The sequence below is a fragment of the Homo sapiens genome, chromosome 16 (assembly GCF_000001405.40).
Source record: "Homo sapiens chromosome 16, GRCh38.p14 Primary Assembly".
NCBI lineage: Eukaryota > Metazoa > Chordata > Mammalia > Primates > Hominidae > Homo > Homo sapiens.
Genome location: NC_000016.10, coordinates 46,432,044 through 46,446,914, shown reverse-complemented (window position 1 = coordinate 46,446,914; position 14,871 = coordinate 46,432,044).

Here is a 14,871-nt window from a genome sequence, read left to right as displayed (position 1 = left end):
ATGTACAATAAATATTATTGTGCTTTTTAATCTTTTCTGTGGAGAAAACACAGGTGTGATTTCTAGTGTAGCTGAACATCGTTTATTTGACAATATTGCACTTGTGTGTGGGTGTGTGCGTGTGTAGCTACTCTAATTTTGTTCTCACATAATGATTAGGTATTAACAATTAATTCAGTAAAATGTATGTTTTGCAATATTTCTCCATGTTATCATGCTTTAAATTAGTTTAATCATGCCCCTATAATGTGTACATTTTAACCTTTGACTATAGGTCTCAATTTTACTTTGGTTCCTGTATTTGAATTTATGCTAATAAAGTCCTACAGCTAAAAAAGATTATATAAACTTATCTACATTTTTACTAGTATTCTGGTGTCATTTTAAATTATGTAATGAAATCAAATTTTAATTTGGATGATTGTTATCTGAGTTAAGGATCTAAATTTTTAATTTTCTTATAAATATTACATAATTATTTCTGAACCGTATATTGACTAATCTGCCCTTTATATGATGTGCATTATAAGAGCTTGGGATTGTTTCATTTGCAAAGATGAATGCTTGAGAAGTAGATATTTAATCATAACATTTCAAAATCTACTGGATAACCTAGAATTGAAAAATAGCCTATAGGTTGAAAAACTCCTGTAGTGAAGAAAGAAAATAACTAATATACAGTGACAATATAAATATTATAAGTATTTATTTTATTATCACCCTGAAATTTGATAATACAAACATGTAATATCTACATATCATCCATATATCAGGTCATAAAAAATCAATACATTCTTCAAAAATTTAGCATAACAGAAAATGCACTCTCTCTCCTTGATGGAATTAAGTTACAAATAAAAGTAAAAATAAGTAGATAAGTAGATGGAAGTAGATGCTTAAAAACAAAGAAAAGTATTTGTTTTGGATAACATAAAATCTCAATTGACAATTCCAATATTTCCAGAACTTTGAGTGTCAACTGGTGGAGAGTTTTCCCCAGGAGACATTTGTCAATGTCTAGGGTTATTGTGGGGATGTCAAGACTGGTGGAGGTCAAATTTAGAGGTCAAACGAAACACCTAGCATTGCTAGGGCAGCCTCCCACAACAAAGAATCCTCTGGTCCTAAAGGTAAGTAGCACCAAGGTTGAGAAACCATAATCTAGACAGTAAACACTACGTAGCTATTCCAAGTGCTCAGGAAAACACATCAGTGCCCACGAGGGGAAAAGTGTAAACATTTTAATTGCTGTACATGGTGACACAAATCCATGTTGTTAATCTAAGTGGAAGGGGCTGAAGCACAAAACGTAATTCAAAGAGTTTACTGGAGCCAAAATGAGGACAGCTGCCTGGAAGAAACAGACCCAAGTATCCTTGGATATGAACTCCCTTTGGAGCTTTGCAACAAGCAGTTTCTTAAAGGCAAAAAAGGGTCCAGAAGTGGGATGATGCAAAGAGGTTTGTCACAAATTCTCATTGGCTTATGGAAATAACATTTATTAGTGACTGGCTATACACTGTTACACTATTATTGGGTGTGGAATATAGTGTCTGGTGTGGCGTTATTGGTTAATTTATAGCTACTGTGGCAACAGCAAGCAGCCTAGATGAACACACAGCTCAAAGAGGAGCGGGACAGAACTGCTGTCTCATTTGAATATCTCTCTGGGCCTGATTATTTAAGAGGAATTGCATTTCTCACATGAAAGTTATTTTCTTTTCTCAATGTCCATAAATGAGAATAAATAGACGTAAAATAGATCTTTTCGAGGATGAAGTAAATGGAATGAAAACCAAAACCCAAGCTGACCAGAAATCATAGAGGGAAGAAAAGGTTATAAATATATGGATTTTTCAAAGTGATTTTAAGCTATTAGGAATCAGTTAAATGTTGGGGGATTTTGTCTGAGAATGGGCTAAAGGAGAATGTCCCTTTTGCCTTTTGAAGTTTCCCTGAAAATCACTAATAGGAGGCAGGTAAATAGTAGAAATGGCATACAGGTTTCTGGAATGTGTGTACACCGGAGTCCTTAGAATGAAGACCCAGACACACGATGCGTGCAGAAGCTTATCTACCACATGAAGTTTACAGAAAGAATGGGGTCTTGGATCACAGGGAAAAAAAAAAAAGGTTATGTGAGAAAACGACCCTGGCTAGCAACAGTGGACTTATTACATAGGTGGAACCACACTGGGAGTAGTCCTCAGAGAGAATAGACAGAAAATGTTTCTTTCAGACCTTTGGAGACCTCAGACTCTCAGTTAAGCTTTCCTAGATCCAGACAAGGGGGCAGACCTCAGAGAAAGCCTGGCTGCATCAAGGCAGATTCTCTACCAATGCAAATCTCCCCAAGACAGCTTTGCAGCTAAGTTTGTATTTCCAGCCCTTCTCAATAGCCATTTTGAAATATATCAAGGAAATACATTTAGGGGTAAAATATATTAGTTTCCTTCATACAGCTATAAAACATACAGGAATACTTTTTGTCAATATCTACTACAAATCCAATATAGCAGTAACTATAAAACCCACCATATATTGAAGAAAAAATATGTAGAGTACATCAATTACAAATGTTGATACTAAAATCCCAAATAAAATAAAAATAATATCCAACAATATTTGAAACAGTAAGACAAGAAATTACCAAAAAATAAATAAAACAAATATCCACCTTGGGGATGAAAGTGTGTTTCCAAATTTGGTAATCCAATAATATTAATAATCATATTGATTAGCCCAAATTAATAATAAATAGGGGATTCTCAGAACATGCCAAAATATATTTGTTAAAAGGCAATATTCATGTCTTTAAAGATTTTAAATGCTATAAAGAGTCTGATATTCGATATGCACACATGTGTATGTCCATTAGAAGAAGAGAGGCCTGATTTTCATATGTTACTGCATAGAGATAGAGAAGTGGATAGATTAATTTGTATATTCATAGAGAAAGCAAAAAATAGAAGCTTACTATCATATTAAAGGAATTTTAATTCAACAATAAATTAATTCAAAGTTAAAATTTTAAATATTTTTAACAGGTACATTATTAATATTAGATAATATTTATAATAATTGTGAAAACATTCAATGCTAAAATAAGATAGAATGTCTATACATCAGTATTAAAACTAGTATAAATATTTGCTTGTTTATACAAGGAAAATTCAAGCTCGACCTAAAATTTATATAGGAAATAAAAGAAAAATTTTATGGGAGCTCTTTAATAACATAAACATATACATATACACACACACATATAACATGTATACATGTTATATGGGATATAGATTTAACAGTTACATCTATATTTGTATCTATACAGCTGTATGTATCTACTTTTCTATATATTTACTCAGAGATATAAATATAGACTGGAATAAATATAAAGACACATATGATTCTTGGATAAAAAGGATTTAGTATCATAAAGACAAATTCTTTCCAAATTCACTTATGAATTCACAACAATATACAGTTTCATTAGTATAATTTAAAATTTTTAAATAAATTCCAAGATTCATTTAAAGGAATATACATGTATACAAGCAGTCAAGAAAGAAGCAAGAGTGCACTAAACTAACTTGCTATTAAAATACATTTTTAAACTTAGTCACTAAAACTGAGCAGTACTGATTTGGAGTACTGGAATTTCGGTATATGGGATCTCAAAAGCACAGAGCTCAAAGGAGACCCCTGTATGCACGAGAGTTTAGGAAGTGCTTTAGAAGGCATTACCAAACCACGGGCAAAGTTCCCTTAGTGTCTTAGTCTTACTAGGTTTGAAAAGCCAGAGAAAAGACTCAAGACCACCATATAAGAGCAAAACAAAAGGACAGGGAGAGAATGTGAAGACACTGAAACATTTTACTAAAGTTGTATAAAACATCCTTTAAAGAAAATGTAAAGTTTAGGATATACATCAAAATCAGCAGAGCCACTAAATGAATAAATAGGCATTGTAAAATAGCAAGAGAGAATTTAAATGGATTTCTAAAAAATATTGACACCTATGATTTTTAAAATATGTTTAAGAAATCCCATATTTCACAGGGCAGCCTTTCACAACACAGATATGTTAGGACATAAAGGTCCTTCTGTTTTTAATTTACTAGTGTTTATACGGTTGCAAATGTCTTCTACCCTTGTCTTTTCTCTGATGGTGCAAAAAATTTTCATAAGCATGTATTTCTGAATGCCTGATGGATTGACATATATAATATGCTGCTAGTGTTAAAATATGTGATGGAAAACGCATCCAATCTTCTCACTGTTTACATAAATTCTAGGTTTCTCCTATTTACCTCAAGCACGTATGGAGAGAATTCTTACCTTTTAATATTGCCATGGCATTCATATTGAACATAAGTTGAACTCTCTCATATGGTTGCTGGGTTCAGATTCCCTTGACAATTTCCAGTTCTAACCCTCACAGTTCCTCAGTGTGGCTGGCCCAGATATTGACCCTACACAGTTGCCTCCTCCGGGTGACTACCAGCTATGGAACCGTTGGATACAACCTACCTAACTCACCCCACAGACCTCACAGCGCACATGGACAGCCCCCACACGCCAGAGTGACCTGCTCAGTTGCAGCGGGAGTCAAGAAATGTGCCTGCTGGCACTCACCCCACCGACTAGTGCCCCGTGGAAAACTTATTCGGGTAATGTTCTGGGCCCAATAAAGGCTGGAGTCCCACATACCCCTTTTCTCTCTCCTGCTCCCCACTCATCTTCCCCATTTTGTTCAGCCCTATGAGGTGTGCTACTGTATTAGTCCATTTTCACACCTCCAGTAAAGACATGCCCAAGACTGGGTAATTTCCAGAAGAAAGAGGTTTAATAGATGCACAGTTCCACATGGCTGGGTAGGCCTCACAATCATGGTGCAAGGTGAAATGCACGTCTCACATGGCAGCCAACAAGACAAGAGAGCTTGTGCAGGGAAACTCCCCTTTATAAAACCATCAGACCTTGTGAGACTTATTCACTATCAGAAGAACAGCATGGGAAAGACCTGCCCCCATGATTCAATTACCTCCTACCTGTTCCCTCCCACAACATGTGGGAATTCAAGATGAGATTTGGCTGGGGACACAGCTAAACCCTCTTCTCAGCTACCCTCTTCTCTCTGGATCTGTAATAAACCTACTTCTGTGATTTCCCATGTTTGGTTCTGTGGCCTCCATGGGTCTGAGCTGACCTACACTGGAACCTAACTCTACTCCTGGCCAGGGTCTCTGAGAGGGGCTCTTGTCAGAAATACACAGGACACAGGTCAGGCAACAGTCACCAGGCCTCTCCTAGTCTCAACAGATGTTCTGTGAGAGGGAGGCCTGGTCGTGGGATGCACACCTGGCCACTGCTGGGGTAAGGAAGTGTCCTGTGAAAGGCACATGTTAAGCATCCACAACCTCCTGACCAGAAACCCAGAAAGGCAGGGCTCCAATTGACAGTCACTCTCCAGAGACAAACCTCAAGCCCTAACTGGAGGAAAAGAAAACAATGTAAAAAGTTGAATTTATCTTACTATGTCAATGATCCAGTAAAGATATTCAATGCCTGTACACCACATATTTTCTTCGATTGTGGATTTATTTTAGATAGAATTTTATGTCTGGCTTTCACTTTAGCCTGGTCCCTACCTCAAGCATAAGGTAAAGATTTTCCCTGGGTTCTTTTCTGGTACTACTACCTGCCAGTGTGGGGTCATGTCCTAGTCTATCTTGAGGGAATTCCCCTGTTCATTATTGTCAGAGTGAGACTGTTAAGTCTTGATTTTCCTGGACAACTTCACTGCATGACTTTTAATATGATTTTTTAATATACCCTTTACTGGACAATAAATTATATACCTATCTGAGTAATAGATATGGTCAGGAAGAGGCCTTGCCTCATTCAGCTTTTCTCTTTGGTGAACTCGCATATGTTCTCCTCACCCGCCAGTCATCTCTAAACCGTATTGTTCCAAGACAACAAACAGAACCCGAGTGTGAATCTTTCACCACTGGATTTGCGTTTCCTCCATAAAACTTCATGCTTAACAGGGTTTCTGTTAGCATTTTCTCTATTTATTTTCCCATAAAATATCACAGGCCTTCTTCATATGGAATTATGGGTGATTTCCTTCAATCTGAGTCATATCAAGTTGAGGTTCATGTTGATGAAAAGTAAAACATACGTTGAAAATATCAGTAATGATGTATTCCCCTCCTTTTCAGCACCTGTGCTTGTGATACAAGCACATTTTAATATAATTGTAGTCTCATGCTTTGATCATTCCTATGATGAAAATAACATTTTTAGATAAAATATCTGAGTTTTATGAGGCCTTTAGTATGTGATGTGATAGAATATCAGAAGACCATACTTTTTTCTAGTTTTCCGTGCAATTCTATCATTGTTTCATCTTTACACCTACCAGAGTAATTTTCCAAAATAGATATCTTGTCATTCTTCCTGTTGTTATCAGTAAATAAGTGAAATGAAAAGCTAGATTATATAATTTATGTAGAAAAAGAAAGTAGAATTGAATCTATATTCATTAATGAGACTAACCAGTCAATTACACAGATAGGCATTTTACATTTTGAAGATCATATGGACCCATTGTCAGAAATAATATTATTTATGTCTATATGGACATCACCTGTGCATATTTACATAGAAATCAATGAGAGCTGATTTTTATTTTTTTTATTTATTTATTTTTTTTGAGACAGAGTCTCGCTCTGTCGCCCAGGCCGGACTGCGGACTGCAGTGGTGCAATCTCGGCTCACTGCAAGCTCTGCTTCCCGGGTTCACGCCATTCTCCTGCCTCAGCCTCCTGAGTAGCTGGGACCACAGGCGCCTGCCACCACGCCCGGCTAATTTTTTTGTATTTTTAGTAGAGACGGGGTTTCACCTTGTTAGCCAGGATGGTCTCGATCTCCTGACCTCATGATCCACCCGCCTCGGCCTCCCAAAGTGCTGGGATTACAGGCGTGAGCCACCGCGCCCGGCCTTTATTTTTATTATATATATTTTTTGAGATAGTGTCTTGCTTTGTTGCCCAGGCTGGAGTGCAGTGGTGCAATCACTGCTCACTGCAGCCTCAGCCTCCCAAGCTCAAGCAATCCTTCCACCTTGACCTCCCAAATAGCTAGGACAACAGGTGCACATCACCATGACCACTTTTTTTTTTTTTAACTTTTGATAGAGACTGGGTCTTGCTATGTTGCCCAGGTTGCTTTTGAACTCCTGGGCTCAAGGAATCCTCTCATTTCAGTCTCTTCAACTGCTGTTATTACAAGCATGAACCACCATATGGGCTGGAAGCTGATTTTTAAAATACTGAGATCATATAGATGACAGCACCTGAAAAATAGACAACACCAAGCTTTATGTTAAAAGGTGTGAGGGTATCAATATTGTTGTGGCTATTGGGGAGGAAAACATTAGCAAAACCAGTAAGTTAAAGCTCTTGCTTTAAACTTTGGCTTTAATATAACAAATGTTCTATGGAGTGACAGTATGTATGTAACCATGCTATGCCCATTCACAGATGCAGTAGAGGGAAGAATTTCCCAAAGACAACTGTTCTAAGACTCAAATTAAACCGTACTGGGTTTGAAAAGAGAAAGTCCATGAATTACCAAATATTTCAGATATCAGATAAAAGAGAATGCCAGGTATGCGATGATAATCAGCAATGGTTGTTCACACAACACATCAGATCAGTATTTGAATTAGCTTTTGAATTACAAGGACAAATGGATCAAATCTAGACTCTTTAGTAGATAAATCTTATTAGGCTGAGATGTGTTTTCCCCTGGTTTTCCACAGGGAGATTACAAATTTGCAAACCTCAGCTGCTCTCATTTTATGCTCTCACCAAGCCAAAAGCTGAAGTTCATCAATCAGTGTGTCTAAGTGTTCACTGGTTATATACCGTTTTGTAGTTTCAGCTGCCTTTCCAACTTCCTAAATCATCATCTTCATTTGATCTTGTTTTTTTCCACTATCACTTCTTTATTGACCATATAAACAATATAAGTTCTTATTTTGTTATTGTTCATTTTAGTCTAATTTCATCAAAATATCACAATCTCTTAATTTCATTTTAATTTCAAAGTTTAAATGAAACCTACATAGAAATGAGTGTAAGATTTACATTTGCATTATTTTGGCATCAATTTGCTATCCTCCCTCATGCACATAGAGATCATTTCCATGTAAGTGATTTCAAACATCCAAGTGCAGTATTAAAAGCAGTTGTAAATTATGGTTCTCATTTTCATGATACAATTACAATATAAACTTCCTCTTGCTGCTGTAACCAATTACCACAAACTTCATATCTTACAATAAAGTGACCGTTAATCCTACAGTTCTGTAGTTCAGAAGCCTTAAATGAAACTCACAGGGCTAACATCAAGTTTTGGGCAGGGCTGCAGTCTTTCTGAGGGCTATGTGGCAGAATCTACTACTTGATTTTTTTCAGCATCCAGAGGCCACCTTTATCCTTGGAACATGACCTCATTCTTATATCCTATTTTTCTTATTTTTTTTGGTGATGGATTCTCCTTCTGTCACCCAGTCTGGAGTGCAGTGGCACGATCTCAGCTCACTGCAACCTCTGCCTCCCGGGTTCAAGTGATTCTTCTGCCTCAGCTTCCTGAGTAGCTTGGACTACAGGCACTTGCCACCATGCCCAGTTAATTTTTTGTATTTTTAGTAGGGATGGGGTTTCACCATGTTAGCCACGATGGTTTCGATCTCCTGACCTCGTGATAAACCCACTCCAGCCTCCCAAAGTGCTGAGATTAGGCGTGAGCCACCGTGCTGGGTCCTCATTATTGTATCTTAAAAGTCAGTGATGTTGAGCAATTTCTCATGCCACCACCTCCAAGGTTGCCTTTCTTCTGCCTTCTTCTTTCACTTATAAGGAAGTTTGTCATTTCATTGATCCCACCCATTTAAGACAATCTCTCTATCATTTTTCCAGAACCTTAATTTCACTTGAAATCTAATTTCACACTGCCGTGCAACCTAACATATTTGTATGTTAGACTCTGGGAATTAGGACATGAAAATTTTTGGGAGGCCATTCTTTTGCCTACAGCAGACATAATCTATTTACCTGCAGATGAAAGCATTCTTTATTTTTCTGTCTCCCTCTCTTAATTTTTTAAAAAGAATATGAATTGTAGTAAAGAGAAAGAAAAGAAATCAAAAAAAGAAAAAGGAAGGAAAGAAGGAAGGACATAAAGAAAGAAGAAAGAAAAGAAGGAGGAAATGAGGGAAGAAGGGAGGGAGGGAGGAAGGGAGAAAGGCAGGAAGGGAGGAAAAAGAAAGCATGAACACAAGAAAGAAAGAAAGAGAAAGAAAGAGAGAAAGAAAGAAAGGAGGAAGGGAGGAAGGAAAGGAAGAAAAGAGAATGGTAAAAGGGAGGAAGGCATAGAAACAAAGAAAATAAAGAGGTGTAGGAAGGAAGAAAGGAAGGAAAAAGAGGAAAGGAAGGGAGAGAGGAAGGAAGAAAAGGAGGGTGGGAGGAAGGGAGAAAAAAGGAAAGAAAGCAAGAAGGTGAGAAAGAAAGAATATGAGAAAAGAAGGAAGAAAATGGAGAGAGAAAGGAAGGGAAGGAGGAGGGAAGGAAGAATAAGAGGAAAGAAAGAAAGAAGGAAAGAAGGAAGGAAGGATAAAAAAGAAAGAAGAGAAAGAAAGGAAAATAAAAAAGAAAAGAAAAGGAAAAGGAAAAGAAGGAAGGAAGAAGGCAGGGGAAGGGAAGAGAAGATAAAGGAAGATGGAAAGAAGGAAGGAAGAATGCAAATATTAGAAATTCTGGGTTTGTTAGACAATATGCCATACTGTTTTTTTTTTCACTTGAAAGGAAAGAGTATCTGCCATTGAAGATTGGATGTCTTGTTGGTGATATTGTTGTTCCTATCTTCCACATGATTACTGAGTTTGTGCCTAGTCTTTCCATTACTAAGACAAAAGTGTTGAAGTCTGCAAATATAATTTTGGATTTTTGTAGTTCACCTTTGATTTCTTTCCTGTTTTACCTCATGTATTTGGAGGTTCTGTTGTTAGCTGCATACCCTAATTAGTAGGATGTTTACATCTTCTTGAGAATTGATTATTTTATTACCTATTTTCTCTCATCTCTGATAGTATTTCTTGTTCCGAACTCTGTTGTGTCTAATATCAATGTAGTCCTTCCACAGCCTTATTTTAGTGTTTCCATGATATGGCTTTCTCCATATCTTGATGATAACCTATTTATATCTCTATATATTTGGAGCAAGATATAAAATTTAGACTTGATTTTTAAAAGATTTTTCAAGATGTAATTCTTATTTCTTTTTGTTCTATTTGACATTCTCTGAGTTTCCTATATTTGAAGTTTGATTTTCTGTCACTTCTTGCAGAATATTTTTGGCAGTCATTTTGAAAAACATTTCTTTTGCTCCATTATTTTTCCCTCTTTTCTTTTTGGGATTTCAATCATAACTAGAGTAGTTAATTTCATCTCAGTCTTATGCAGGTACTTTTTCTCAGGGTCTCAGGAATGTAGTCTTCTCACACTTCTGTTCTTTTCCTGGCTGTGTTGGTGAGCTCAGTGATATTCCTCCTTCACCTTCAAGAGCAGTTTTTTTTTCTTGTTTTCATACTCCCAGCATCAGGAGTATTCTAAGTGTGGCAGTTTTTGTTGCCTTCCCCTACATATTAAGTGGAATGTCTTGGTCTATGTGGACCCTTATAACAAAATAACATAAACTGGGTGACTAAAAAACAACAGATATTTCTTTTTTCACATTTCTTGAGGCTGTAAGATCTCAGGCCAAGATACTCACAAATTCAGTGTTGATGAGAGCCCATTTCATGGTTCATAGATGGTGCCTTCTTTCTATGTCCTCACATAGTGGAAGGCACACAAGAACTCCACTGAGCTTCTTTTATAAAGGCACTAATCCCATTCATAAGGGCTCGGCCCCCAAGACCTGGTCACCTCCCAAGTGTTCTGCTCCCCCTGATCTGTGTCATATACAGACTCTCTTGGATTCCTTACCAATCGCTTGAGAGATCGCAGTGGGTTTGTGGGGAAAATGTTTTCAAGATGATGGATATTTCCCAACTTCTGCAGCGTCAGAGGTCTCCCAATCTGACCAGCCCCACTTTGTCTTTAGGAATTTATTGATTATTCCAGCTTTACTTGTCATAGTGGTGTCTATTTGCATCTGTCCTATGTAAGTGCATCTGTCCTCTTTCTCCTTGCAGGTGCTTGTTTTCCCTCACATTTTGACTCAGTTCTTGGCAACCTCGTTGCTATAAAAATAAAGTCATGACTTTGAAGTTAGTTTGGTTCTTTCATTGCTGTCAGGTTAGGAAACCTATTCCATCCCAGATCTCCAAAACCTAGACGTTTTGGGGGGTTGAAATTTTAGGCTTTCTCTTTGAATTGTGGTTGTATCTTCTTTCAGTTACCATTAGCATTTTCATAATGATTAATGAGACTAAGCTTTTTTTGTGTATTTGACTGTAACTTTGAATTTTTTTAATTTGGAATATAAACACCTTTTTAATTTGGAATTAAAACACCTTTTTTAAATTTGGAATATAAAGAGAAAAGAGAAAAATAGAAAGCTATGCATAAACACGTGCATTAAAATGAATTTTATGTGGGCTTTTTCATGAAAATGTTCCTAAGATTTTTTTTTTTTATTGTGGTAAAATACACATAACATAAAATGTACTCTGTTAACCATTTTAAATGTACAGTTCAGTGGTACTAAATATAGTCATAACATTGTGCAGCCATCCCTACCATCCATCTCCATAATTCGTTTCATCTTGTAAAACTGAAACTCTGTACCCATTAAACAATACTTCCCCATTTCTTCCTCCCCTCAACTTCTGGCAACCATCATTGTACCATCTCTATGATTCTGTCCACTTTAATACAAACGGAATTATACTGTATTTGTCCTTCAGTGACTAACTTATTTCACTTGGCATAATATCATCAAGTTTCATCCAAGTTGCAACATATGTCAGAATATTTCCCTCATGTTTAAGGCAGAATAATATTCAATTGTATGCATATATGATATAGTGCTTATCCATTCGTCTGTTGTTGGACACTTCAATTGCTTCTACGTTTTAGCTATTGCCAATAACGCTGCTGCAAACATGATGTGCAAATATTTTTTCAAGACTCTGCTTTCAATTCTTTTGCTATCCTGAGATGTGGCGCTGCTGAATCATATGGCAATACCATTTTGATGTTTTGAGGGACTACCATACTCTTTTCCACAGCAAACATAGCATTTGGCATTCCCTCCAATACTGCAAAACGAATCGCCACATCCTTGCCTGTGGATTTTATTCACAAGTCCTGTGGCTCTCTCTAATTCCCGGCCATATGACATCAAATGTGCAGGAAGTAATGAACTATAGTGGAAGGATAAACATGTAGAAAAATAGAGGTAAATACTGACTACATAAAACCATAAGAATAAGAATTTTGGATGATCTGTCTATTATATACCTATTTATCTAACATCTATCTGTTCCTCCATCTGTAATTAAAATATATTACAGTTAGAGAACAGAGGAAAAAGTAGGAATACATGAATTTAAATTTTAATTCTTCTTAGATTGTCTCACAGCATCATTATAGGAAAGAAAATTTATAGGTCAATATCTGTTAACTATAAATGTAACATTCTTAAATAATTCAAATACATTGAATTACAGCATGAATAATATATTACGATCCATTCAAGTTTATTTTATTCCAGGAGCACAAAAATACAAATTTCATTTGCAATTCAAAAAAAAAAAAAAACAGAAATCGATACATATGATTGATGTATATACACACTTAATGTATTTTTAAATATACATTTTTTAAAAATAGAAATTTTTCTAGGACAAATACTTAAAATATCACTGAAAATAGTGTTATTAGCAAATACCTTCCTAATAACTCTAGTATTACATAAGAAACCAAAATTAAAATTTCAGGTACACTTAGAAAGTAAAAATTTTAAAAATATTATTCTGTTCTCCTTATGTTCATATTTAATATTATTTCTTGTTTTCATTCGTCTTCAGTGTTGCTCTACTAAAATATAACATAAAATACTAACTTTTGATTTCTGTTCTTATTACGCAGAATTGTGTACATTTTCTCATGCTCTTAATTTAGTTATGCTACTTTTCTGTACTCTTGGAATTTTCACATTTGTATTCACTCTCTTCTGAGTTCCTATAGTATCAAATGAGCTTTTTTCCCTCTTTCTGATTTGAAGATTCATCTTCCCATAATTTTTTTTCCACTCAGTTGTTTTTCATTCTCAGTTAAGTGCCTCTCATCTGGTTTCTTTTCATTTATAAGGTTTCCTTTCATCTTAAGCCAGTCTTTCATTTATATTTTGATTCTGTTTTGTGGACGACAGGCTTCCCTGAATTTTATGGAAGAGGCCAAAAGGTTTGTTCAAGTTTTTACCTGATACATTGGATTAAATTATCTAATGTACACACTCTTAATTTAAGTCTAGGAGGGACTGTCTACTCTTGATTTTTTATAGTATTATTTTTCTTAACATCCAAGTCCATCTTCATCTATTTGTATAAGATCAATAAAAATATATTTGTCCAGAACCCTGCTTTGGTGGAGTTACTTCTTTATAAGTAGTAGAGGTAGCAGTTAAGACATGAGCTGGGTTCTGGGTCAGTTTAGAGGGCTGGGCGACATTCCTCCTTTTGGTCTGTATGACTGAATGAATGCAGTTTTTGCTGTCTCGCTCCTCTCCTTAACACATTGGGCCATTGCAGCAGATGAGAAGGAATAATCTTGATCTGCCATTCAGGTGGAACACATGTTCTCTCCAACCACACCCATAGGTTGTACTCACACTCGGCCAGAAGGTATCCTGTCAGTGATATGGAGATGTATCTATCTATCTAGATAGATATCTACTTTGGTTTATGCTCTCTGGTTGCCCGTAAATTATCTCCTTAAAGTGAAAATCAAAATAGAGCTTGATGATGGCAGTGTTATAAAATCCTCAAAATGCAGCACCCACACCCAGAGGAATTTGTAGATTCTGGGATTCTAATTCAGATACCAAACTATATAAAAGGGGAATTGGTCATTGAGGGTTGCTAGGCTCTTTGTTGAGCATATTTGCTCTTTTCATGACTTCGAAATTATTTTAAAAATCTAACCTTTTTCTCAGTGTGCTGCAAGATGATTTGATTTGAATGCATAAGCACTAATTCTCCCCTAAGATTTGTACAATATATTTGCTCTGACAAGCCATAGCCAGCAACTCACTTCCCAGCAATTTATAACATTTCCATGATAAGTTGAATTATTTTTAACTAGACACTCTTTGCCTTAATAAAAATATGAAGAAGCAATATACTTGTTCTAATTAGGTTCAAAAGTTGGCAGTCTCTCTCCTGGAAAGAATAGTAAAACTTTACAGGGACCTAATATGCATCTATAAACACACACACACACACACACACACACACACACACACACACACGTAAGCACTATTTATAATATTTAAAGCACATTCTGTTCTATGACTTCATTTGTCTAGCACAAAATAAAACGATCTCAGTATATGTCAAGTACCAATTTTTTCGTATGGCCAATTATAGATATTTTATTTTTTAAAGATTAGAGTGTTCTTGAAGCTCTTTATATTTCTTTGTTTATGAACTAAACATTGGCAAATATGTAGGGTTTCCCACATAAGAACATTATTAACATCAAAATAGAAAGCTGGTGGTAGAAATAATGATTGGGAACACAGAGTCTCTACTCAACGTTCTAGTTCTGCCATACCATAACTTTGTGATCT